The 25902-nt window shown below is 42.9% G+C and overlaps 1 protein-coding gene across 20 annotated transcripts, besides 7 other annotated features; it reads left to right on the plus strand.

Moving 5' to 3' along the window:
- Positions 3877–4116: an enhancer, noted in NCBI's record as "active region_20551". NCBI's record gives its function as "activates an Ori minimal core promoter by ATAC-STARR-seq in GM12878 lymphoblastoid cells {active_cell/tissue: GM12878}" and the evidence as "EXISTENCE:reporter gene assay evidence [ECO:0000049][PMID:35858748]".
- Positions 3877–4560: a biological region, named in NCBI's record as "NANOG hESC enhancer GRCh37_chr3:133291701-133292202".
- Positions 4059–4560: an enhancer, noted in NCBI's record as "NANOG hESC enhancer chr3:133291701-133292202 (GRCh37/hg19 assembly coordinates)". NCBI's record gives its function as "activates a minimal SCP1, AML or CMV promoter by ChIP-STARR-seq in naive H9 embryonic stem cells {active_cell/tissue: H9 hESC(naive)}" and the evidence as "EXISTENCE:reporter gene assay evidence [ECO:0000049][PMID:30033119]".
- Positions 4217–4386: an enhancer, noted in NCBI's record as "active region_20552". NCBI's record gives its function as "activates an Ori minimal core promoter by ATAC-STARR-seq in GM12878 lymphoblastoid cells {active_cell/tissue: GM12878}" and the evidence as "EXISTENCE:reporter gene assay evidence [ECO:0000049][PMID:35858748]".
- Positions 4767–5306: a silencer, noted in NCBI's record as "silent region_14746". NCBI's record gives its function as "represses an Ori minimal core promoter by ATAC-STARR-seq in GM12878 lymphoblastoid cells {active_cell/tissue: GM12878}" and the evidence as "EXISTENCE:reporter gene assay evidence [ECO:0000049][PMID:35858748]".
- CDV3 (CDV3 homolog) lies at positions 4888–21476 on the plus strand. Of its 20 annotated transcripts, none has more exons than XM_005247588.6 (6): positions 4888–5486; positions 6241–6317; positions 15204–15352; positions 17765–17924; positions 18361–18363; positions 19098–21476. In XM_005247588.6, the coding sequence occupies exons 1-6, from the start codon at positions 5247–5249 to the stop codon at positions 19246–19248; spliced, it is 780 nt and encodes a 259-aa protein (XP_005247645.1). In that variant the 5' UTR covers positions 4888–5246; the 3' UTR covers positions 19249–21476. The 20 variants fall into 20 exon arrangements, with proteins under 20 accessions (XP_005247645.1, XP_005247646.1, XP_011511263.1 ...); XM_005247589.6 differs by having other exon boundaries at positions 15207–15352; XM_047448524.1 differs by having other exon boundaries at positions 5448–5810.
- Positions 5327–5436: a silencer, noted in NCBI's record as "silent region_14747". NCBI's record gives its function as "represses an Ori minimal core promoter by ATAC-STARR-seq in GM12878 lymphoblastoid cells {active_cell/tissue: GM12878}" and the evidence as "EXISTENCE:reporter gene assay evidence [ECO:0000049][PMID:35858748]".
- Positions 5467–5856: a silencer, noted in NCBI's record as "silent region_14748". NCBI's record gives its function as "represses an Ori minimal core promoter by ATAC-STARR-seq in GM12878 lymphoblastoid cells {active_cell/tissue: GM12878}" and the evidence as "EXISTENCE:reporter gene assay evidence [ECO:0000049][PMID:35858748]".
- Positions 21477–25902: the final 4426 nt, after the last annotated feature.

Consider the following 25902-nt stretch of genomic DNA (forward strand, 5'->3'; position numbering starts at 1 on the left):
TAGGGCACCCTTTTCCCAATATCAGCAGTCTCAGAGAGTCAAGTTAGTCATCAACAGGCTGGTTGGTGAGTGTATCCCAAGAGTTAAGGAAAGCTGACCTTTTGAGGGCTATTTCAGCCAAATCAGGGTGCGGTCTACTGAATCATCTCCACCTTACAGCAGGGCACGTCTATGTGAAAACAAATTTCACACTGCTCTTTCTTGGACAGTGGTGGGTAATAAGTGCCAACTTCTGGCCTCATGGCTTTATCCTATTTCTTTTTCCTTCCTCTTTTCTACTCTCCAGGCTCTTCCCTCATCCTTCAGTTCACACATTCTCCATACAATAAAGTTGATTCGGTTGCTGATCATTCAATTGTCATCACATTGCAGCCCTTCCCTCACCGAGACACTCAAGGAGGTCACCTTGATGGATAGGTTGGTTGTTCCCAAGCTTTTCATTTATTTACAGAACTTTTTGGTTTATTTTCTAATATGTTAGGTTTAACCTTTTGAAATGATTGTTTTTGGCAGGTCAAAAACAGTCAAATAGCAGCAATTTTATGTGGTTCAACAATCAGCAAACCAGACCCATTGGGGGTGGGGTTAATGAGTCTGACTCCCTTCTCAAGCCATGGTGGTGGGTGTATGTGTGTGTGTGTGTGTCTGTGTCTAGGAGAAGGGGGGTGTATGGCAGCCCTTTTCTCTTTCTGGAAATAAGCTCTCCTGGATAGTTGCTGTTGTCTGGGGCCTCCTCTTGCTCTCCATGTATCCTCCAACTAGGACCCTAATGTCAAAAATGAGCTAAGGAGGAACTTGAGGTTGAGGGAGAAGGTTGAATTATTTGTTATGTGTGGCAGAGTTAGCCTATGCTCATAAGCCAACAAGGAAACACTTTTAGAGTCCATGATTTGTGCAGTCCTCTGTTAATGTGGAAAACTGGAGATTAATGGAGACATTTTTCATTTTACAAACATCAGTTAAATGCTTGTGTGATATAGGCTATATGCTCAATGCCATTCCTGCCTTCAAGAGTTTTCAATGTGCTTTTGTAGGTGTTCCTGTGTGTCTCCTTCTAGTTACCAGCTTAGTGTACAATAAGCTCTGTGAAGGCAGGGCTTATCTCTCCTTTAACTCCTAACATAGGGCCCGGCATATAGTAGGTGCTCATTAAATACATGTTTTATATACTTGAGTGAATGAATGAGAGTGGTTAAATAACAAACCAATCATGCGAATACCAGGAAGGCATCAACGATCATACCAAATGAAAAGACTCTGGGCCTCTGAAGTTTAGGAAATCAAGCTGCCTGTAGAGAATAAGAAAAGACTCCCAGAAGAGATGACCTGTAAGTAGTTGCTCCCCAGTTGAAAAGGGGACAGTTCAGGCAGTGGCATAGTTGGCCTTACAGATGTTAGAGAGGAAACCAGAAATGAAAAGAAGAATTCTAGCCACCCATTTCCTGGTGAACACTTTGGCCAGCATGAGCTGCATTCCTTTGAGCTGAGCATGAGTGGAATTTCCAGCCTAGGTAGCAGAATGGATCTTGGATCAAATAGCTCAGCAGAAAAGAACTCAGAAACAATGGGGCTGGGCTCAACTGCCCTTTGCCAGCTCTTGAGCTCATGGAATATTGGAACTCAGCAGGCCTTGTTGAGGGAGATATATGATGTCCTTCGGATTGCACCACTTCAGAGGACCCAGAGGGAAACTGCCATGTTCAGACAGCATTAGGAACCTTGGAAGATGTGCAGAAATACCTGGGAATAGTCTGCATTACTATACAAGTTTTCCATCTGGCAAGTACAAGTGAAAGTCTGTTTGCTTTAAGTATGCAGACGGTCCAAACACATTGGACAGCAGAGGGGAAGACACCTCTGTCAAGAGAGAGCTGGAGGAGCCGGGCACAGCGGCTCCTACTTGTGATCCCAGCTACTCAGGAGGCCAAGGCAGCAGGATCAATTGAGCCCAGGAGTTCCAGACCAGCCTGGGCAACATAGCAAGATCCCTTTCTCTAAAAATGTAAAAAAAAAAAAAAAAAAATTCAGCTGTACATGATGGCACCTGCCTGTAGTCCCAGCTACTCTGGAGGCTGAAGCCAGAGGATTGCTTGAGCCCCGCCTCTTAAAAAGAAAAAAAGAGAGAGAGGGCAGAAGGATGCTTCAAAGATGAGGGGGTGTCTGGTAACGATGATAATGATAGCATGATTCAGGGCACTGTGCAACCAATCTGGAGAAGGGTGGTAGGGGAGGTTTAAAAGGAGCAACTGATGGGAACAGATGCTGTCAATTTTAGGGCAGGTGATTCAAAGAGGAAGGGACCAGCTTCACAGAGGAGAGAATTACTACAAACAATGACACAACCACAAAGACACTGGTCTCTCTACTGGCCTGACCTGAATTTCTTACACATGATCAAGTTCTGGGATCATGCCATCAATCACACTGAAAAATGTAGTGGGAAATTCTGCAGCGTCAGCCCTCAACTACTGTTCCTTCTGTGTATTTTCTCAAGTCATTAATTCTTTCAAGACAATGATGAATTGATAAGGACTTAAGAAAGATATAAATAACTGAAACTTATTTATATCTAGATCTTCTCTTCTAGATTATAAGGGAATTGAATGCAGGAATCACAAATTACTCACTTTTGAATAAAGCACTTTGCCCGAAATATAGCAAAATAAGTGCTTCATAGATGAGGAAAGAAAGAGAGGGAGAGGGCCGGGCATGGTGGCTCACACCTGTAATTCCAGCACTTTGGGAGGCTGAGGTGGGTGGATCACGAGGGTCAGGAGTTTGAGACCAGCCTGGCCAACATGGTGAAACCCCGTCTCTACTAAAAATACAAAAATTAGCTGGGTGTGGTGGCGGGTGCCTGTAATCCCAGCTACTCAGGAGGCTAAGGCAGGAGAATCGCTTGATCCTGGGAGGCAGAGGTTGCAGCGAGCTGACATGCCATTGCACTCCAGCCTGGTGACAAGAGCAAGACTTTGCCTCAAAAAATAAGTAAGTAAATAAATAAATAAATAAATGAAAGAGAGGGAGGGAGGAAGGAAGAAAGAGGGGGGAGGAAGAAAAGAAGGAAAGAAAAGAGGAAGGGAGAAAAAAGAAGGAAAGAAAAAAAAGAAAGAAAATAAATTTGATTAGCGATGGTAAGGGAGGGTGATGGTGATGGGCAGTACTGAACCTGGCCTGCATCACAGGAAGATATATGTTGTCATAGAAGGAAGTCACCTTGGGAGCTGTTCATGTTTGGGGAATAGTATATGTATAAGCTCAAGCTACTTGCTGGCCAAGGCTAGGTCCTTGATTTCTTTTGACATTCAGAAGTTAGACTTTTTTTTTTTTTTTGAGACGGAGTTTCACTGTTGTTGCCCAGGCTGGATTGCAATGAGGCGATCTCGGCTTACTGCAACCTCCGCACCCCCGGGTTCAAGCAATTCTCCAGCCTCAACCTGTAGCTGGGATTACAGGCGTTAGCCACTACGCCCGGCTAATTTTCGTGTTTTTAGTAGAGACGGGGTTTCATTATTTTGGTGAGGCTGGTCTCGAACTCCTGACCTCAGGTGATGCGCCTGCCTCGGCCTCCTGAAGTGCTGGGATTACAGGCGTGAGCCACCGCGCCCAGCCAGAAGTTAATTCTTTAATAGCAGTGTAAGTAGGGGGTAGGAAAAGAGAAACTTTAATGGGGTAACTGTAAAGGAAAAGACGAAGAAGTCTCTCCATTTACTGGCTGGATTCTATCTACCCCATATGGCTACCAACATTTGTCTGAGTCATTTCCTCAATGGTTGTGACAGCTCCCTCTTCTGCTTTTAGAAGGAGGAAGTAGAAAGTTTAAGAGCTTACTTTAGACCACCTTTTGCATATAGAATTCATTTCATTTTCAAGGCCCCAAGGGTATTTAAATGGGCTTTAAACCCATTTAAACCTGGCTTTCGCCTGGGCATTTTGGTCTCCACCCCTATGATAAGACAGTCCCCTCCTTTTATCAGGGATAGAAGCTAAGGATAAACTGTATCATCATCTAGACTCAAGTCAGGGCGTTAAGCAATGTGCTGAGCAGCTAATAATGTTGACTCTCTTCCCTCCATCCCCCTATCTTGTAAGAAATAGTATACCCACTTTACAGATTAGGGACTTGACGATAGGATTTATTGAACTTGACCTTGGTAAACATAATCCAGAGGGTGGAGTTCAGACAAAATCCCTTTCTACCTACCAACCAGCCTATGAAAGATCTTTTAGTAAATGGGACCTAAACTTCAGGCTCACTGCTCCTCTCACTTTCACAATCAACCGGTAAAGAAGAAAAGTAATGGTTGCCACTCCAGAGGGGGTGGAAGTACAGAAGCGATCAGAGGAGAGGAACAATCTTTAACACAGTTGGCTTAACGCAGTGCCTGTCCGTTTCGCGACAGTTCAAACGACTACTATGGGGCCACGGTTTGTTCTGGGCCAGGAAACACACGTGCATCCTGCGCATGCGTCCAAAAGGAACCCACTGCCCCTCCTGCTGGACCTCTTTAGCCAAGTCATCAACCAGCCCTCAACATGCCCGCCCTCAAGACTAAACCCTCGGCCAATCGGGAAACCGGAGTCGCCCGGCACGTCACTTATTTTGCATATGCCCTCCTCTCCCCGCCCCCATGCTTGGACTCCGCCCCGTCTGGGTCAGGGATTGTCACCTAAGAGCTTCGTCCTGGCACCTGATTGGCTCTCTTTCCAGCTCCGCCTCCATCTCCTCCCGCCGCCCGCCCCTTGGCGATCCCACAGCGGCAGGCAGAGCAAAATACGCAGGCGCAGGCGCTTCCTCTCTCTTCTAGCGGCCCGCCCTCCCTCCTCCCTCTCCCTCCCCTCCCCACTCCCTTCCCCTCCTCTCCAGGCCTGCGCGCGCGCCTCTTCCTCCGGCACGCGCCGCTGCTAGCCGAGCACTCTCGCCAGAACCTCTGGCTCGCGCGTGCCTTTTCCCCTCAGGTTGTGGGGAGAGCGGAATCCTGCTCCGCCGTCGCAGCAGCAGCGGCAGCCCCGGCAGCCTCGGGCGACAGCGGCGGCGCGCGAGCCCCCGGGCGGACCGTACCACCGCTCGCCAGCACGCAGGGGGAGCCGCCCGTCTCGCCGCGCACGCCTCGGCGACCCCGCGGGGCTGAGGCGTCGCCGCGCCCGGCAGCGTGAGCGCAGAGCCGGCCTCGACCCCGAGCTCGGAGCCCCGCGGGCCGCGCCCGCCGCCGGCCCCACCCATCCGGGTCGAGGAGGCCGAGGCCATGGCTGAGACGGAGGAGCGGAGCCTGGACAACTTCTTTGCCAAGAGGGACAAGAAGAAGAAGAAGGAGCGGAGCAACCGGGCGGCGAGTGCCGCGGGCGCAGCGGGCAGCGCCGGCGGAAGCAGTGGAGCCGCGGGTGCGGCGGGCGGCGGGGCGGGCGCGGGGACCCGGCCGGGTGACGGCGGGACCGCCAGCGCGGGGGCTGCGGGCCCAGGGGCCGCCACCAAGGCTGTGACGAAGGTGAGGGGCCGGGAGGCCGGCACTCGGGGCCCGGGCCGCGCGCCGGCGCCCCATGTGCCCGCCCCCGCCTGCCGGGGAAGCGTCCGGGAGGGGCCGCGGAGGCCGGGCGGACGGGCGCGGGCCGCCACGTGACGCAGGCTCTCCACCTCGGGCTGGGCTCGCCAGGGCCGGGACCCCTTCCGATATCCGCGGTGGAGCCGCCCTTCCCACCCCGCGTCGCTCGGCGTTAGCCAAGGCCCGGGCGGCGCCACCCTCCGGGGGCACTAGGTCTGGGGCCGCAGTGCCCAGCACAGAGCAGCGTTTATCGGGTGACGTCTAGGCTGAGTAATTCCGTGTGCTGACCTCAGCCCAGTAGTTTGAGCTGAATTTTCGCTTTCAGCAGCCGCATTTGTAGCAGCTCTTTTGTGATGACTTAGTCTCTAAGCCCGTGAAAGAAAAAGAAAACTCTCGGTGGCAAGGTTGAAGTAGAAATGTAGTTGTGAAATTCCTATTGACTTCTTCCTTCGGCTTTTCTTAGTTGCTTAAAGTAACAGCTCCCATGCAGGAACCCAGCGGAAGTATAGTGTTAGCCTACGAGCATGTTTGTCCTCCATTTAGCCTAGTTTGCCCCAGAACGAAGCAAGGGCTTTGACCAGAAGACAAGTACATACTTAGTTTAGGTTCCAGCCACTTGATCCACTTTTCGTAGTGTGTTATTTGCTTAGTTATATGTCTACAAATAGCTTTAATTGATCAAATGGCGTTTGTTTTACAGGACGAAGATGAATGGAAAGAATTGGAGCAAAAAGAGGTTGATTACAGCGGCCTCAGGGTTCAGGCAATGCAAATAAGGTATAGTCTGGTTACAAATGTGTTTAGATAACCTTTGGGATAGATATTGGATACAAGTTAGGTTTTCCTTTGGCCCCAAAGCAGCATCATAGTAGCCTTGTGCTCTAGATATGCTTATTAGGACTCAAATGGGTTCTGTCTACTCTTTCTCACTCCATGGAGGCAGCCCTTCCGTGTGCTCATGAAATTAGCTGCTGACTCTAAAATCCTGTGAGAGCTTGCCTACTTCCAGTTCTGGTTAGGACTTTTCATTTGAGACAGCTAAAGTGGATTTTGTCGCTTCAAAATTTTTACTTTTAACATCGGTGATTGTACTTAGTTTTGGTTTCAAAAGTAATGTGGATGTTTTTCACATCCTCTCCAATAAGCAAGTGAATATATGTTTTTGTAATTGAAGTATATCATACTTACAGAGAGATAGAGGTTTTATGTGTTCACACAGTGCAACCAACCTGTGCAATAAGCACCAGGTCAAGAAACTGAGTATTACTGATACAGAACAAGGTTCCCCTCCTAACACATACTCACTGCATTCACCTTCAACATAACCACTATTCTAACACCATAATTTTTTCTAAAACTTCATAGGAATGGAATTATATTTGTAAACATGTTATTTTTTAAAGTTCAAAAAAATAGTAATTTTTAAAAATTGGGTAGTTTAGAAGATTTGAAATTAACATTTTGTCAAGTCCAGTCTATGGCAGTCAACTTTAAGGTTGATGTTAAGTAAGTGCTATATTTTGGAGGGTTCATAAAGTAGGAAAAAACAAATGAAGATATGGTTCTGCTGTAAGATGAAAAAATCCTTTGCTCCCGGTTTAAAGAAATAAAGGATCTTGATAAACTGTCTCCAGTTTGAAGGTTGCATTTTATAGGCAATGCCAGTGAGTGCGAGGCACAGTGGAGGAAATACTTTCCTTAACTGAAAACTGTCTTTTGACTTCTCTGGATGTTAGTATCTATAGCTTTAGATAACTTACTCAAAAAGCAGGGTTAATATTATTGACATTTGTTGAACACCTACCACAGCTAGGCATTAATGTCCTACTGTGAAAACATCATTTTGTGAGCTTAACCAAAGTGAAACCCCCAGATTGATAATGGGAAACTTTCAGGAACGATGGCTTCTCCACTCTTGAGATTTCTTTGTAGTGGTGTTGAGTAGAAGTGATTAGACTTGAGTTTGATTCCCAACCACTTGTTGGCTTCCTTAATGTGTCTTTCTCTTTTCTGTCTCCTGGGGCTTGACCTGTAAATAATGGGGAGGAGGGAATGTGAGGTTCTTACCATTTGGTGTTGTGGAACTGCCTGTGTGTGTGGCTCCGGTTCTGTTGTAAAGTTTGGCTCTTCTTAAGTCTTTTCTTTCCTAAGTGACTGCAGGTTCTTGAAAACGTGAGTGACTGGAAGAATAGTGTTTGGCCATGTTGAACTTGGCAAAATAGCACTTTTCTGAAGATAAAATTTTGGTTTCAAGTTCACTGAGGATTAGAAATTGATTTTGTTAAACTATGGAGATTATTTAAACAGAACCTGTGTTTTTCTGTTACTGACTATAAATTACATGTTCATCTTCAGGGTTATTTTGATCTTGATCTATTTTGGTTACTTTTGAGATAGTGAAAAGTGTCTTAAATAACTTACATACTTCACCCTTGCCAGGGATATAAGTAAGTATCAGCTAGTACAAGCATTTAAGTTCTGTTCAACCTGAAGGTAGACTAGCTTTTTTTTTTTTTTTTTTTTTTTGAGACGAAGTTTCCCTCTTGTTGCCCAGGCTGGAGTGCAGTGGCAAAATCTCGGCTCACTGCAACCTCCGCCTTCTGGTTTCAAGCGATTCTTCTGCCTCAGCCTCCCGAGTAGCTGGGATTACAGGCGCCCGCCACCACACCTGGCTAATTCTTGTATTTTTAGTAGAGACGGAGTTTCATCATGTTGGTCAGGCTGGTTTTGAACTCCTGACCTCGTGATCCGCCCGCCTCAGCCTCCCAAAGTGCTGGGATTACAGGTGTGAGCCACAGCACCCGGCCTAGACTAGCTTTTATATTGTTTTTTTTGTTTTCTTAGCATCTAGTCATTGGCCCTAAGTGGCCATCCTAGTAGAGGTATTCCACTAACCTGCAACACTGAGAAACACTCCTTCCCATATGTTCTTCACTCAGATCCACCAGTCTCTGCTACATGTGCTTTATCTTTTTCTATTTCTCGGTATACTGAGAGCTGCAGATGTCACATTCAGTCTTTTTTTCTTTTTTTTTTTTTGAGACAGAGTTTCGCTCTTGTTGCACAGGCTGGAGTGCAATGGTGCGATCTCAGCTCACCGCAACCTCAGCCTCCCGGGTTCAAGCGATTCTCCTGCCTCAGCCTTCCGAGTAGCTGGGATTACAGGCATGTGTCACCACGCCTGGCTAATTTTGTGTTTTTAGTAGAGACGGGGTTTCTCCATGTTGTTCAGGCTGGTCTCAAACTCCCGACCTCGGGTGATCCACCCACCTCGGCCTTCCAAAGTGCTGGGATCACAGGCATGAGCCTCTGAGCCCAGCCAGATGTCACATACAATCTTAAAGTTCTTGACCCTGGTCCTTATAGTAGTTAGCATATTAGTTCTTTACCTGTACATTTGAAAGGGGAAATTTTTCATTAGCAGCAAACGTATTATATATTAAGATCCTATTTCACATTTACCAACCAGCTCAAGATTTAAGTACCAAGGTACTTAATGTGCCCAGTTTTGTGTCTGAATTAACAGATCTTATTCAAGGTCATGCTGTTATAGACAGATTCTTGAGAGGGAAGCCATTGAGGTGGTTATAAAGGAGGCTGTCATTTGAGTTAGATCCTTGGTTGTTTGTAGGCCCTGTAGGCCTCTTTCATCTCTATTTTTTCATTTTTTTGAGACAGTCTCACTTTGTCACCCAGGTTGGAATGCAGTGGCATGATCATAGCTCATTGTAGTCTTGAACTCCTGGGCTCAAGTGATCCTCCCACCTCAGCCTCCCGAGTAGCTGGGACTACAGGTGTGAGTTGCCACCCCTGACTAATCTTACTTTTTTTTTCTGTAGATGAGGTCTATTTTACCTAGGCTGGTCTCAAAACTCCTGGCCGCAAGTGATCTCAAAGCAAAGGAATCACACGCATGAGCTGCTAGGCCCAGCCACTTCCATCTTTAAAGTGGATTTTTGGGAGAATGTTAGAAAGATTTAATTCTTGAAGGTATACACTGTTGAGCATTTGTCACGTTTCAGTAAATAATTGAGTTCTTGGAGCCCAGTGGTTTTCTAGAAACTTTGGTGAGAAATCTAGACTTAAACCTTTTAGGTAGAGCTGGTTACATTATCCAAGGTGGATTTATTCTAGCAAATACTTATGTGACTACTCTGCTAGACACTGAGGTTCTCTGGTTGTAGAAATAAGTCATGCTGTAATAGACAACAGTAGATAATTTCAAAGAGATGTGCATGGTGCTCTGGGGCAGAGGAGAGACATTTCATCATCCATGAAGGGGTCAGGAAAGATTCTTTGGATGAGGTGCAGTGCCATTTTAAGCCTCCAGGCCAGGCATAGCTGATCAGGCCATGTGTATCTCCCCATTTTACTGTTGCAGCAATGCTAGGTATAATAGGGACAAACCTGTGGAGATGCCCGGTATTCCAGCAGCTCAATCCAGTCTGATTTTTGTTTTAGCTGCTTCCCCCTAGTGTTGGGGAAGGGGAGTTAGGATGTATAAATTCTCATGTCTCTTGAGGTAAAGAGATAAGGCTGTTCTATTCTTTATAAATATACTGCTGCAGGATGTGTGATCCTATCAGCCTTACTAAAGAAAATGCATTTCTCAAATCTTAGAGAATATTTTTGCATCATACCTTAGAGCTATAAAGGGGATAAAATGAATTAAAAGGTAATGTGAAATAATAGAGCCTCTAGAATCCCACACTATTTTGGCTCTGCTACTTTGTAGCCCTGGGGAAGGTACTTATGTTTCCTCATACATACATACAGTGGGTCTCTTGGCTGCCTTAGTGTTACTGTGAGGTTTAACTTTGTACAGTGGGGTGGAATGCTGCCTGCTGTAGTAGATATTCAGTAAGTCTCCCTTTTGTAGCATCATTATTCTCCTCACCTTACCAGTAGTGCCTTACAGACTTACACATATTTAAGACCGTATATGTGGAATTGTGATGAATTTACAGCAGTATTGTAGTGTTTGTTTATAAAATTTAGCTGATGGGAAGCTATATATTATATTTGGGTCAAACACTGAATTTCAGCCTGTCTCCCATGGAAATAACCGTTTGGAACGTGTTTCTTGTTCTGCTATGACATTTGGAGAGTTGATACTTTCTGAAATATGTAAAGATGAAAAAGTAATAAAATATGTAAATCATTTCTACCCTGCTAACTGGCATTTAGGCAAGCCTCTAAGCATCTCTGGGCTTCAATTCCTTCAATTGTTGGATGAAGAGTGTTTTTGGTTTGTTCGTTCTTTTTTTTTTTTGATAGAGTTTTTGCTTTTGTTACCCAGGCTGGGGTGCAATGGCGCAATCTCCGCTCACTGCAACCTCCACCTCCCAAGTTCAAGCGATTCTCCTGCCTCAGCCTCCCAAGTAGCTGGGATTAGAGGCATGTGCCACCACGCCTAGCTAATTTTTGTATTTTTAGTAGAGACAGTGTTTGACCATGTTGGTCAGGGTGGTCTCGAACTCCTGACCTCCAGTGATCTGCCCGCCTCTGCCTCCCAAGATGCTGGGATTACAGGCATGAGCCACTGCGCCCGGCTGATAAAGAGTCTTGACTAGACAATTTCCACATGTTTAGTTTAGCTAGTATTTCAGAATCTTAACCCAAAATACTTATTTATTTTTATTATTATTATACTTTAAGTTCTAGGGTACATGTACACAACGTGCAGGTTTGTTACATAGGTATATATGTGCCATGGTGGTTTGCTGCACCCATCAACTTGTCATTTACATTAGGTATTTCTCCTAACGCTATCCCTCCCCCAGTCCCCCACCCCCCAACAGGCCCTGGTGTGTGATGTTCCCCTCCCTGTGTCCATTTGTTCTCATTGTTCAACTCCCACTTGTGAGTGAGAACATGCAGTGTTTGGTTTTCTGTCCTTGTGATATTTTGCTGAGAATGATGGTTTCCAGCTTTATCCATGTCCCTGCAAAGGACATGAGCTCATCCATTTTTATGGCTGCATAGTATTCCTTGGGGTATATGTGCAACGTTTTCTTTATCCAGTCTATTATTAATGTACATTTGGAAAAACCCAAAATATTTATTTAAAAAAATTTCTTTTGGCCGGGCACAGTGGCTCACGCCTGTAATCTCAGTACTCTGGGAGGCTGAGGCAGGTGGATTACTTGAGGTCAGGAGTTCGAGACCAGCCTGGCCAACATGGTGAAACCCCGTCTCTACTAAATACAAAAAATTAGCTGGGCATGATGGCGCATGCCTGTAATCCCAGTTACTTGGTGGGCTGAGATAGAAGAATTGCTTGAACCCGGGAGGCAGAGGTTGCAGTGAGCCAAGATCAGGCCATTGCACTCCAGTCTGGGCAACAGGAGTGAAACTCCATCTCAAAAAAAAAAAATAGAGACAGAGTCTCACTGTGTTGCTATATTGCTCAAGCTGGTTTTGAACTCCTGGCCTCAAGTGATCCTCCCACCTTGGCCTTCCAAAGTGCTGGGATTAGGGCATGAGCCACTGCACCTGGCCAAGAATCCAAAATACTAAATTGTCTCCTTGTGCCTTTTATTATTGATGTACAATCCCTCTAATTAAACAGATTATGCTTATTTTTTGGTAATAGTTTGTAAACTAGGTGTATTTTAAATTTGAGATTATTTTATTTTTTAATTTTTTTCCTAAGGGCAAGGAGATGTTAGACACTAGACAGTAAAAAAAAAACTTCCAGTTGAGATACTGTCACTATTCCATCAGACCAAATAGGAGTTTTTATTTAAAAGCTTTCTGTGAGGCTGGGCGTGGTGGCTCACTCCTGTAATCCCAGCACTTTGGGAGGCAGAGGTAGGAGGATCACTTGAGGCCAGGAGTTCAAGACCAGCCTGGGCAAGACCCTGTCTCTACAAAAAAATGTAAAAAAGTAAAATTAGCCAATTGTGGTGGTCTGCACCTTTAGTTCTAGCTTACTTGGGAGGCTGAGGTGGGAGTATCTCTTGAGCCCTGGAGTTGAAGATTGCAGTGAGCTAAGATTGGGCCTCTGTACTCCAGCCTGGGTGACAGAGCAAGACCCTGTCTCTAAAAATTAATTTTTAAAAATAAAAAATGATTTTTTATGTAGGTTATAAAAATAATATGCTTGTTTTTAGAAATTTTTTTGAGAAAAATGTAGAAGCATAAAGAAATATGTAAGAATTATCTGTAGTCTCTTCTATTTAGGGATAATCAGTAAATAGTGCTGATTATTATGGGGTTGTCACCTCCATTTTACATAAGAGGAAATTGAGGTATAAAGAAATGAAGTGCCATGTTCAAAGTTTCCTGGCTGGTAAGTGGCAGAGCCTGGATTTGAACCAGGAAGCCTGACTTTAGAATCTGCTCCTAATTGCTTGCTGCATGAAGAAGATAAAGTCATACATTCTAGCACCCAGAGCTACTCTATAAAACTTTTTAAAATTGTTGTAGATGTTTTTGTATTTATATTAGGTATATAGATGTTGTTTTAGTGAATTTTGGTTTATATGACATGAATACTACCTCCATGTCAGCATAGGGTTTACATTTTAAATGGCTGCATAGAATTCTCTTACATGTTAACGAAAAGGAAAACTGAGAGATGGCTTGGCTATATTTTTATTTTAAATTGCATTTTTTTCTTTCTCAGACCTCTTAGGGATGAATTGCCATATTCTCTATCCTTTTTCCTCTCAGATAAAGTTGTAAGTAAAATCTTGCTGTAAATGTAGACGAGATAAATCTGTTCTTCTTTCCACTCTTCCTCATTGTCACTCTAGCCTCCAAATTCTGCAGTCACTTCTGGTTGGTAGGTAATTCATACAATGCTGCCATTATTTTTTATTTTTTATTTTTGACACGGAGTCTCGCTCTGTCACCCAGGCTGGAGTGCAGTGGCACAGTCTTGGCCCACTACAACCTCTGCCTCCCAGGTTCACCTGATTCTCCTGCCTCAGCCTCCCAAGTAGCTAACCGGCATGTGTCACCACACCTGGCTAATTTTTGTGTTTTTAGTGGAGATGGGGTTTTGCCATGTTGGCCAGGCTGGTCTCCAACTCCTGACCTCAGGTCATCGGCCTGCCTCAGCTCCCAAAGTGCTGGGATTACAGTTGTGAGCCACTGCGCCTGGCCAGTGCCATTATTTTTGAATGGCATTTTGCCACTTACTTTTTTCCTAAGTATCTTTAAAGGAGACTGTCAAGCTAGTCAAGAACTTTGTCTTATAGCCAGCATGTGTCTTGTTTTAATAGAAATGGAAGGAAAGCATCCTTAGATATCCTTTTGCAGAAGCCAAGAGAGGCTGTGATGTTCCTAAGGTTATACAGTTAAGAGAGTCAGGGTGATGAGTAGAAGGCAAGGGACAGAGTTTTGGGAACCAGCCTTTTTTTTATAGGAAGGTGGGGAAAAGGTAGAATGGTGAAGGAGTTGAGAAGCTTGAAGACCTAGGAAAAGCCACCATTGTCATGAAAAATAATTTTATGAAAATGTTGGTAGTTTCTGCCAGGTGTATCTTCGAGGTGAAGAGTTGCAAAAAGGACGTTCGATTTAGCCATTATTGTGCTTTAATATCCCTGTTGTCAGTATCCCTTTTGTCAAGAGACAAAAGATAAATACACTTGGTAATTTAGGACATGTAAAGTTACACAAAATAATAAAAAGTAATCCAGCAAAAAGAGAAATAATCAAAGATGCCTTGGAGAAATAGATTATGACTCAAGTCAATTCAAGAATAAATTAATTAGCATTGAGAAAATACTGCAAGCAGTCTTAAGATGGTATGTTACCACTGAGGGTATCTTTTCCATTTATAACATCTGGAAAGCCAAAGACTGAGATCTTATATATTTTTTTTAAACAGGTGATAAATACATGTCTGGTGTTAGGGGCTAATTCTATCCTCTGTAAACACTGGACACAGACTTGTTTTCATCTGCTGGAATGTGAATTCTAATTCTGAGAGTATTTTATGTGCGAAAGGATTGGCAAATAAAATTATACAACTTTCAAAACTCTTCATTTGCTCACTAAAAATATGCTTACCTTAAATGCCTGTTTGTACACTTTGGTGCAAGGAAAATTTTGTAATTGTGCTCTTAATCCTTCAGCTCACCTTCTTCTCTGCATTTCAGGTTGTATCATCCTCTCTTCCCTCCCTTAGTCGCTTGAGGTGGTAACTGGGGTCTTGCTCTTATGTGGGGCTGCTATAAATGATCAGGCATATTGTCACAGAGGCACATCAGGTTTTTTTTATTTTTATTTTTTTGAGACAGTCACGCTCTGTCGCCCAGGAGGGAGTGCAGTGGCACGATCTCAGCTCACTGCAGCCTCTGCCTTCCGGGTTCAAGGGATTCTCCTGCCTCAGCTTCCCCAGTAGCTGGCATTGTAGGTGTGTGCCCCCATGCCTGGCTCATTTTTGTATTTTTAGTACAGATGGGTTTCGCCATGTTGCCCAGCCTGGTCTTGAACACCTGACCTCAGGTGGTGCACCCATCTTGGCCTCCCAAAGTCCTGGGATTACAGGTGTGAGCCACTGTACCTGGCCTCACTTTTTAAATAAGACGTTCAGTCTCGAAAGAGATTGACTTCTTCAGGGTCGTACAGATAATCATGGATAAAACTAACGATTTGGACTGAAAATTTTCTTGGTGATTCCTTAATGAATTTACATCTTTGCTTTTCCAGCAGTGAAAAGGAAGAAGACGATAATGAAAAGAGACAAGATCCAGGTGATAACTGGGAAGAAGGTGGAGGTGGTGGTGGAGGTATGGAAAAATCTTCAGGTCCCTGGAATAAAACAGCTCCAGTACAAGCACCTCCTGCTCCAGTAATTGGTAATTTTACTATTTCAGTTTCAGAAAGATGTCTAATTTATATATGATTTTATATATGGTCCACTTTCAACTAAGTGCATGATTGTGGTAGGGTGAGGAGGAGAGGCTCCTTTCCATTCCTGGTAGAGTGGGATGTGTATATATCTTGTTAAAGACTTTAAAATCCTAAATAAAAGGAATCTGGAAGTTAAAAGACATGCTTTTGTCCTGTATGTTGCTGTAAAATTTATATAGATATAGACTAGTCGATTCCAGTTTCATTTATTGGAATTGAGCATTTCTTCTAATATTCTCGTTAAATATTAACTACTTGCTAATGGAGGAAAAGGTAAGGAAAAGACTTTAATTTACTAGAATCCAAGGTCAGCTTCATTTAGGATTTTTAGTGGTAACTACCCTAGGGTTGGGTTTAACTCCAAAAGTTTTCATGAGAGAGAAAATTCCTAAAGCTTTTATCATTTAAAATATTTTTGACAGCTGAGTAAAGACAGAAAGACAAGGGGCCCTTGTCTTTCACTTGTGCTTTGTCTTTTTCATTCCCTATTTAACTTTCCTGTTCTTTGAAGCATGAATTCTCAGCAGGGCCAATTTTATCATTCTCAAGGTGGTAAAAGTTGCTTCTTATGGAATGAAGGAATCTTATACCTTAACAGTCATTTGTGGCCCACGAAAAGACTAGAATGCATAAACAGATGTATAGTATATCGCAGTATTAAAATTTCATGGAGTGGGGGGCAGTTAGGAAACAGATGTCTGAAAGGTCTCCTTAGGGCAATAATGAAAGTTTAAGAGCACTACTTTAAAGAAGTGTATACTCATTATTTTATTTAGAATGTTATAAAGAATAACATATCACTCCAAATCTTGTTATGCAGAAATCACAGATAACTACTCTATGTTAAATTTTTATTTTTATATTTTTTAGAGACAGGGTTTCACTCTGGCCCAGGCTGGAGAGCAGTCATGCAATCATGGCTCATTGCAGCCCCTCAACTGCTTGGGCTCAAGTGATCCTCCCACCCCAGCCTTCCAAGTAGACTACCGGGGCATGCCACCTGTTTATTTTATTGTAGAGATGAGATCTTAACTATGTTGCCCAGGCTAGTCTTCAACTCCTGGGTTCAAGCAATCCTCCCACCTTAGCTTCCCAAAGTGCTGGGATTGCAGGTGTGAGTCACCACACCCGGTCTTATGTTTTTAAATCATCTTTAGAATCTTTTTGTTTTGTTTGTTTTGTTTGAGACAGAGTCTGGCTCCTGACTTCAAGTGATCTGCCCGCCTCGGCCTCCCAAAGTGCTGGGATTACAGGCGTGAGCCATTGTGCCTGGCTAGAATCTTTTTTTCTTTTTCTTTTTTTTTTTTAAGACAAAGTCTCACTCTCTTGCCCAGGCTGGAGTGCAGTGGCACAATCTTGGGTCACTGCAACCTCCGCCTCCCGGGTTCAAGCTATTCTCCTGCCTCAGCCTCCCAAGTAGCTGGGATTACAGGCGTGCACCACCATGCCCCGCTACATCTTTGTATTTTTAGTAGAGACGGGGTTTCACCATTTTGGCCAGGCTGGTTTTGAACTGCTGACCTCAGGTGATCTGCCTGCCTCGGGCTTCCCGAAGTGCTAGGATTACAGGCTTGAGCCACTGCACCCAGCCCTGGCTAGAATCTTAAAAAATAACCACACTGGCATTTCATTAAAAAATTCTTTACATATGGCATCTTAATCAGTCCACCAATCAGGTAAAGAAGTAATTCATATTTACTGGTAGGGAAACAGGACTAAAGTCCTATTCTGAGAGGCAGTCCCTGATGAGACCAGTCATCCAAGCCCAGCAGATTCCTTTTCTACTTCCAGTAATTTGGCTTGTGGAACTCATCATTTACGTAGATTACTAAAGTTGTACGTGGAGGAGGAGTTAGAATACTACCCTAGAAAAATACAATGTTTTCACTTTTCTTTTTTCTTTTTTGAGAGCCGGAGTCTCCTTCTGTTGCCCAGGCTGGAGTGCAGTGGCTCAATATCGGCTCACTGCAACCTCTGCCTCCTAGGTTCAAGCCATTCTCCTGCCTCAGCCCCCTGAGTAGCTGGGATTACAGGTGCCTGCCATCATGCCCAGCTAAGTTTTGTATTTTTAGTAGAGACAGGGTTTCATCATGTTGGCCCAGCTGGTCTTGAACTCCTGACCCCAGGTGATCCACCCACCTCGGCCTCCCAAAGTGCTGGGATTACAGGCGTGAGCCACCACGCCCAGCCTGTTTTCACTTTCAGACATTTTCTGAAATGAATTCCCTTCTGTGGTCTGACCCAGAGACCCTGGTATTGTTTTTTCTATAATTGTTAAATGATTGGGAATGCAAGAATAGCTTATTAAAATGCTGAGCATTTAAATAGTTTATCTAAAAATTGTTATAAAATATTAGTTACAGAAACCCCAGAACCAGCGATGACTAGTGGTGTGTATAGGCCTCCTGGGGCCAGGTTAACCACAACAAGGAAAACACCACAAGGACCACCAGAAATCTACAGTGATACACAGTTCCCATCCCTGCAGTCAACTGCCAAGCATGTAGAAAGCCGGAAGTAAGTACTATAATTAATTGCATTTTGTTTGGGACTTCTGTTCCTAGGCCAGGGAGTGGGATATAGGGGATGTGCATACCCACCCAAGGGAGAGACTACTCCTTAACTAATAAAGCCTGAGCTTCAGCTGACAGGCAGGTGAGAATCAGGGTGGGACTTCATATGTCCAGAAGGGAGGAAAGGGGGAGGGCAAAGAGCATTGGAGACACTTTGTCTTCTGTCTGCAAAAGTTTATCTTAGCCCTGGTTTATGTTGTTTTATAGCAATGACAAGTTTTAATGTAGTTAAAATTCTTTTATAATTAAGTGGCTTTTGCTCCTTATAATATGGAAACTAGAAATATAAAAGCGCTGTTTAATTGTATTCCCAGTTAATGTGACTATAGACAGAAGATGTTGGCATTTATAAATCTAATATTAAAATAATCTTATTTCAGCAGGTACTTAAAATGAATGCTACCTGGAATTAAATGACTACATATGGCACATCTACATCTTACTTTAGGGACATGAATTTTTTAAAATAAATAAAATGGGAAGAAATGTAAATGACATCAGATGGAAATGTGTTTTTTGGGGTGGCTTTTAGAATAAATCCCAGCCTTTTCACCACTTTGAGAGCACAGCTGGCTTGAATTTAAACCTCCACGTGGACTTGCTCCTCTGCTCTGTCTTAAAAAATGTGTAAGGGACCTTGGGAGGGCAGTGATTCACCACACTCGAGTTTCTTTACCTGATCTAATCAGATCCACTCCCACAAAATCGATGTGAGGAGAAATCATTGACTAATGAGTAGAATTTACTTGAATGAGAAAATTGTTACCCTTGTGCATAAAGAGAGAGATGTATTATCTATTACTTGCTAAAAGTAAGAGTCTTAGGAGGAATGTCATTACACAGCTTTTAACAGTTTTCTTCAAGTTTGTCCTGAAATAGGGTCACAGTTAATACTGTTCAGTAGAAGATAGGACCCTAGAGCTTCAATACAGCGTTCTGTGTTTTCTGTTTGAATTGAAGCCTTAAAATGGTTTGATAAGGATTTTCTATATGCCTCCACTCCTACCCCTCCCCAGGATTCTTCTAAGGGGTGGCTTTTTTTTAAATTCAAGGACGAATATTTTCAAAAACCCTAGTGAAGAAGAAATATTTACTGATTACATTTCTTTTCCCTTAGGGATAAAGAAATGGAGAAGAGCTTTGAAGTAGTAAGACACAAAAATAGAGGTAGGGATGAGGTTTCAAAAAACCAGGCCCTTAAACTTCAGCTAGACAACCAATATGCTGTGCTTGAAAATCAGAAAAGCAGCCACTCACAATACAATTAAGGAATGGGCTTTGCTAACCCTTCTGAGGTAACTAGACTGCAGCTAACCACCACCAACAGCCATTCATCATCTGATCTCTGCTGGATCTACAGACACCGATGCAGACCACTCGATTTCATGACCGGCCCTATTGCACTATGGAAGTTAAAGTGTCACGACTGCTCTATGCATATTGGATTTAGGGGAATTTTCATTGTTACATAAATGTGTGAACTAGTTTCAACAGTGTTCTTTCATATTTACTCTGCAAATACAAAAAACCAAAACCTGCAGCCAGTGGTCATTTCAAAATCTTTTTATGTTCAGATACTGAGCCTTCATAAGGGTTGACTACCTCAGATTTGCTGCACTCATTGTGGACTTCATGTGGATCACAACTTCTGGATAAGAAGATTACAACTATTAAGTGTCGATGTGAACCTTGCAACCAGCTCTACTGGATTCTTATCAGAAATCCTGCATAAAAAGTCAGCCATCTGGGTTCTGATCTGCTGTAAAAGATGAAGATTTAAGTGACCTTAATTAACCTGTCCTGTGCCCTACCCTTAAGGAATACTCTCTGTAGTAGGCTGTTGTTATATTAGACTTCCTGGAACACACTGCTGAAAAGAACTGATGTGTTCAGATCATCTGTGTAGGGCTGTGATTTGTAATTTAAACTAATTGTATTCTGAGGTAACCACAAAATAAATTCAACCAAACTGGGGTCCACCAAGTGGGGGAAGGGGAAGGGAGAGAATAATCTTGGGGGTTTTTTTTTTTTGGTAATTTTTTTATTTGGATAGTGCTTTTTTGTTTTGTTTTTGTTCTGCATTAAGGCCTTTTTTGCTTTGACTTGAAATAAGTTCTTTGACAGAGCATATTGCTTGGTTAATTAAGTAACCTAAAGTATGCATTAGGATTGTGAAATGTCTCGTGAGTATGCCAATCCTGAGGGTGGAACCAAATAGCCTTTGATGAAAAGGGCAGTGGATTCTGGAGGCTCTACTTCAGGTGCTGCTATAATGCCTCATCTAATCAGGACTAAATTGTGTAGGAAACTGCAGTGGGAAGAATATGCTTTCTGCTCAGGCTAAGAGGGTCACTGATCTGTCCTTAGAAATTCAGAGTAACATGAGCAAAACCTCAGCTAAAACCCATTTAAGTGGCATGGATTGTGCATGATCTTTGATAAGAATTCCTCATGTACTTGTGCCTAGTTTTTCAAGGTATTGGCTGTTCTATAGATGCAGTGATTGTCCCAGCTAGCTCTGTTACCAGCCTTTTGGTGTGTCTTTATGTTCATTTGGAGAGTCAGGGCGAAAGACAGGTGATGTAGCACTTCTGTTTTTAATAATTATTGCTTAAAATACCTATTAATAGTTTTGGGTCATTTAAAGGGACTTGAGGAAGCTACCCAGGATTACAGAAGAGTGTCCACCTAACAAGATGGTCTGGCAGTTTCCTAGTTTTGTATCTGGTTCAATAGAAATATGTGAAAGTGGTAATGTCATCATTTGATGCAGAGTCCGGGTTTCTCTATAATAAATCCCTTTGCCAAATGCATGAGTTGCAGACTTGCTACTGGCAAGAGTGAAGCAAGTGGGTGAGTAAAACTATTTTGACGTGGGAGCGTTTTCAGATAGGAGTTTAGTCTTGACGAAAGTGTCCGTGCAGGAATTGGACTCCGAGGAGGGTTACAGTATCTCCTGACGGGACCTGCCACTCGCATCTGGGCAATGTTGACATTTGAGGTGGCAGGCAGGATGCCTGCCTTCTAATATATTTGGGTGAGTAACTGAGCCAGCCAAGGGAAGGTTGAATGATTAAATCAGAAATGGGATTCTTGGTAAACTGAAGACTTTTATTTGGGAATGAAAAACCTTAAAAAAATCTCTTCATCGTTGAACTGTGCATTTTCCCTGCATTTTTTCCCAACAAAATTTTGTTGGGGGTTATGTTACTGAAGAATGAACAGATGAGTAAGTGGAGGTGTTATGTAAAGGCATATTGTACTCGAAATCTGAAGACCTGCAGCAGATTTAAATTACAACTCTTGTTATAACTTTTTAAAAGATTGTGAAAATATCAAAATATAAATGAATCAAGTTTTAATATACTGTATGATGGGTGGATGAGGCTGTCCATTGTACCATTTGTTTGAATTCTCAGGCATGGTTTGGCAGTGCAAGAATTCTGTAACATTAACAAATTCAATAAAAAGTAAATATATGGATTTTGGACTGTAATGGTTATTTTAAAGCCTTATTCTGTCTTTGAAAATGGTGAGTTGAGGTCACACCTCTCTTGCTGTGGGAAGGTGAAGATGCTCTAAACTCAGGGGTGTACTTTTTTTTTTTTTTGAGACAGTTGCTCTGTCGCCCAGGCTGGAGTGCAGTGATGTGATCTTGGCTCACTGCAACCTCCGCCTCCCTGGTTCAAGCGATTCTCCTGCCTCAGCCTCCTGAATAGCTGGGATTACAGGCGTGCACCACCACACCCAGCTAACTTTTGTATTTTTAGTAGAGACGGGGTTTCACCATGTTGGCCAGGCTGGTCTTGAACTCCTGACCTCGTGTTGCACCTGCCTCGACCTCCCAAAGTGCTGGGATTACAGGCGTGAGCCACCGGGCCTGGCCAGGAGTGTACTTTCTGTTTCAGAAGTGTTTACAGAGTACTCAAGCATAAAAAAGACCGATGAGGATTTAGGCAAACCAAAGACAGTAAAAAAAGAAATAGAAAATTTAAAAAATACAACACGCATGAAAGTGGCTGCAAAGCTGTGACAAATATTTTTGGAAAACTTGAAATACACATTTGTCCTTGTTGCTGTATTAAATTTTGTTACCTTAAACTATGGCAAAGGAATCTAAAATCTTTATATAGACTAAGGATTTAAGGCTTTGTTCGATTAATCTTACAATTCTCAAAAACAGTAATTTTAAATTTCAGGATTTAGTTTGGATTATAGTCCCTCGATTTCTAAATTAGCAAAAGTATATTTCAGTCATTTTGGTAGTGGAGTTTAAATATGTAATGTTAACAATTTACTATTTGATTATTCTTTGTGCTTGATTGAGATCTTTTTTTTTTTTGACAACCTTATTTAAGATAGAACACACACACAAACTCACACTCTATCAGTCTTCCCTGCTTTAATTTCTTCTATAGTTTTAACTTTTTAGATAAAAGTCACTCTTTTCAAAAAGAAAAAAAGAGACAGGGTCTTGTGCTGGAGTGCAGTGGCGCAATCATAGTCCCCTGCAGCCTTTAACTCCTGGGATCAAGGAATCCTCCCGCTTCAGCCTGCTGAGTAGCTGGGATTAATGTGTGTGCTACCAAGCACTATTTTGTTTTTTAAGAGATGGGGTCTTGCTATGTTGCCCAGGCTGTTCTCAAGCTTCCTGGTCTCAAGCAGTCCTCCTCTGCGTCCCAAAGTGCTGGAATGTTTTACAGCCACTTTGGGAGCCACTACACCTGGCCAAAAGTCACCTTTTGAAGTGTACAATTTAAGAATTTCTTATATTCTCAAAGTTATGCAACCATCACCACTCTTAAAATTCTTGAACATTTTCATCACCCCAAAAAGAAATTCTATTGTTATTAGTCATCATTTTCTTCTTTCCTCCCAAATTCCTCAGTCCTAGGCAGCCACTATTGTATTGTCTCTAGTTTCTTTTTTCTGTTTTTTTTTTTTTTTTTTTTTTGAGACAGTCTTGCTGTCACCCAGGCTGGAGTGCAGTGGCACATTGTCAGCTCAATGCACCCTCCGCCTCCCGGATTCAAGTGATTCTCCTGCCTCAGCCTCCCCGAGTAGCTGGGATTACAGGCACCCACCACCACGACTGGCTAATTTTTGAATTTTTAATAGAGATGGGGTTTCACCATATTGGCCAGGCTGGTCTCAAACTCCAGACCTCAGGTGATCCACCCGCTTTGGCCTCCCAAAGTGCTGGGATTACAGCTGCATGAGCCACCGTGCCCGGCCTAGATTTTCTCATTCTGGTCATTTCATATAAACAGGGTTATACAATTTGTTTTTCAGAGACTGGCTTCTACACTTGTTTTTGAGCATGTTTTTGAGGCTTAGCATGTATCAGTGCTTCGTTTTTATTGCTAAACAATATAGGTAATTGTATGGGTATACCACGTTTAAATTGTACATTCATCTGTTGGACATTGGGGTTGTTTCATTATTATGAATGATGTTGCTATGAACTTTCATGTACAAGTTTTTGTATCAACATTTCCAATTCTCTTGGGTATATACTTAGAGATGAAAGGCTGTATCACTTTGAGGAACTGCCAAACTCTTCTAAAGTAGCCTCACCATATTATATATTACTATTCCCACCAGCAGTGTCAGAGGATTCCAGTTTCTCCAATATCCTTGTGATCACTTGTTTCAGATTGGTTCTAGTCTTCCGAGTGGGTGTGAAGTATCTCATTATGGTTTTATTTTGCATTCCTATAATGACTAGTGATGTTGAGCATCTTTAAATGTGCTTACTGGCCATCTGTATGTCTTTGGAAAAATGTGTATTCAAATCCTCTGCCAATTTCTAAATTGGTTTACTTATAATTTTATTGTTGAGTTGCAAGTGTTTTAAATTTCAGGTGCTACTTCTTTGTCAGATACATGAATTGTAAACATTTTCTCCTACCATTTTTCCCTTTCTTAGAAGTGTCTTTTGGAGTACAAAATTTTCAATTTTGATGAAGTCCACCTTTTCTATTCTTTAGTTGCTTGTGCTTGGGTGTTATATCTAAGAAAACATTGCCTAACCCAAGTCATAAAGATTTATGCCTATTTTCTTCTAAGAGTTTTATGTTTTTAGCTCTTTCATTTAGGTCTTTGGTCTATTTTAATTTTTTTTATTGTGACTTAGGGCTCCAGCTTCATTCTTCTGCATGTGACTACCAGTTGCTCAGCACCAAGACTCATAGTTTTTGGGGGATTTTTTGGTGGTTGTTTTTGAGACAGCATCACCCAGGCTGGAGTGCAGTAGTGTGATCATAGTTCACCGCAGCCTTGGCCTGGGCTCAAATGATCCTCCCCGCCTCAGCCTCTCAAGTAGCTGGGACTAAAATGCGTGCCACCACACCCAGCTAACTTTTTTTATTTTTAGTAGAGATGAGGTCTTGCTATGTTGCCCAAGCTAATCTCAAAACTCCTGAGCTCAGGTTATCCTCCTACCTCAGCCTCGCGAAGTGCTGGGATTACAGGTGTGAACCACCATGCCTGGCTTGTAGTTCTTACTCTTTATTTAGCACACTAAACATTTTGGTTGTTTATCTCCCTCTGTTAGAATGTGAAATTGGTCTGGGGTAGGTACACGTAGGTGGAGATGTCAGGAGGTTAAGAGTGTGGGGTAGGAATTTAGGACAGGTCATGCTATGGGTGTCTAGACTGACAAAGGAACAAATGAGGTCACGATTTCAAGTTAGGGAGTGCAAACAAATTAATGGAGGTAGTCAGATCAGAAGGAGAGCCAAGAAGTTAGAAAGTCATATGGACAGGTGTTCTAATAACTAGCATCCTGAAACTGCAGGTTTGTAATGGTTTTAATTCACCAGTTACTACAACTAGGTACTAATGGGGCCTGCAGAATGCAGGCAAGTTATGAATTGCTTCTCCTGGGCTTGAAATAAAGATAATGAATATTATGAGTGATATATTGAGTAAGAAATAATTGCTTATTTTATCTTTTTGACACAGTTTCACTCTGTCACCCAGGCTGGAGTGCAGTGACACGATCCCAGCTCACCACAACCTCTGCCTCCCAGGTTCAAACAATTCTTATGCCTCAGGCTCCCCAGTAGCTGGGATTACAGGCGCATGCCACCACGCCCGGCTAATTTTTTTTTTTTTTTTTTGTATTAGTGGAGACAGGGTTTCCCCATGTTGTCCAGGCTGGTCTTGAACTTCTGACCTCAAGTAATCTGCCCACCTCGGCCTCCCAAATTGCTGGGATTACAGGTGTGAGCCATCACACCTGGCCTTAGAAATAATTGCTTTAAATAATCTTATTTGTATTATCTAAAATAGGAATTATGTTCACATCAGGAATTTAGGATATACATAAAAGTAATCATTAAGGCAGTTCAATTCTTTTGAATTTGCAGCCCAAGTGGGAACTAGAATTCTAAATAATTGGATATAGTAATACAGACGATGGGTAGGATTTAAGTCATCCACTTTAAAAGTCTTTTTAATCCCTCAACCTAACTGTTCAGGGATCCAGTCAAAGCATGCCCCAAGAAACCTCTGTAAAATGGTTCATCTCCAAATATGATGGAGAGTAGCACCCAGCCTTCGCAATTTTAATCATAAGAAGTGGAGCAACTCTGTAAGATTATGTCCATGGTTCTCAAACTGCTGCATTTTGGAATAACCTGGGAATCATTAAAAAAAAAAAAAAAAAAAAAAAACTCGCTGGGTGCGGTGGCTCACGCCTGTAATCCCTGCACTTTAGGAGGCCGAGGTGGGCGGATCACCTGAGGTCAGGAGTTCAAGACCAGCCTGGCCAACACAGTGAAACCCCATCTCTACTAAAAATACAAAAATTAGCCGGGCACGGTGGTGGACGCCTGTAGTCCCAGCTACTCAGGAGGCTGAGGCAGGAGAATCACTCGAACCCGGGAGGCGGAGCTTGCAGTGAGCCGAGATGGTAC

The sequence above is a fragment of the Homo sapiens genome, chromosome 3 (assembly GCF_000001405.40).
Source record: "Homo sapiens chromosome 3, GRCh38.p14 Primary Assembly".
NCBI classification, from domain to species: Eukaryota; Metazoa; Chordata; class Mammalia; order Primates; family Hominidae; genus Homo; species Homo sapiens.

Bases quoted from the DNA above. Each gene is read 5' to 3' on its own strand.
- CDV3 (XM_005247588.6), top strand. From the start codon at position 5,247: ATGGCTGAGACGGAGGAGCGGAGCCTGGACAACTTCTTTGCCAAGAGG. The intron at 5,487-6,240 runs GTGAGGGGCCGG...TTTGTTTTACAG, and splicing joins CCACCAAGGCTGTGACGAAG to GACGAAGATGAATGGAAAGA. The intron at 6,318-15,203 runs GTATAGTCTGGT...TTGCTTTTCCAG, and splicing joins GTTCAGGCAATGCAAATAAG to CAGTGAAAAGGAAGAAGACG.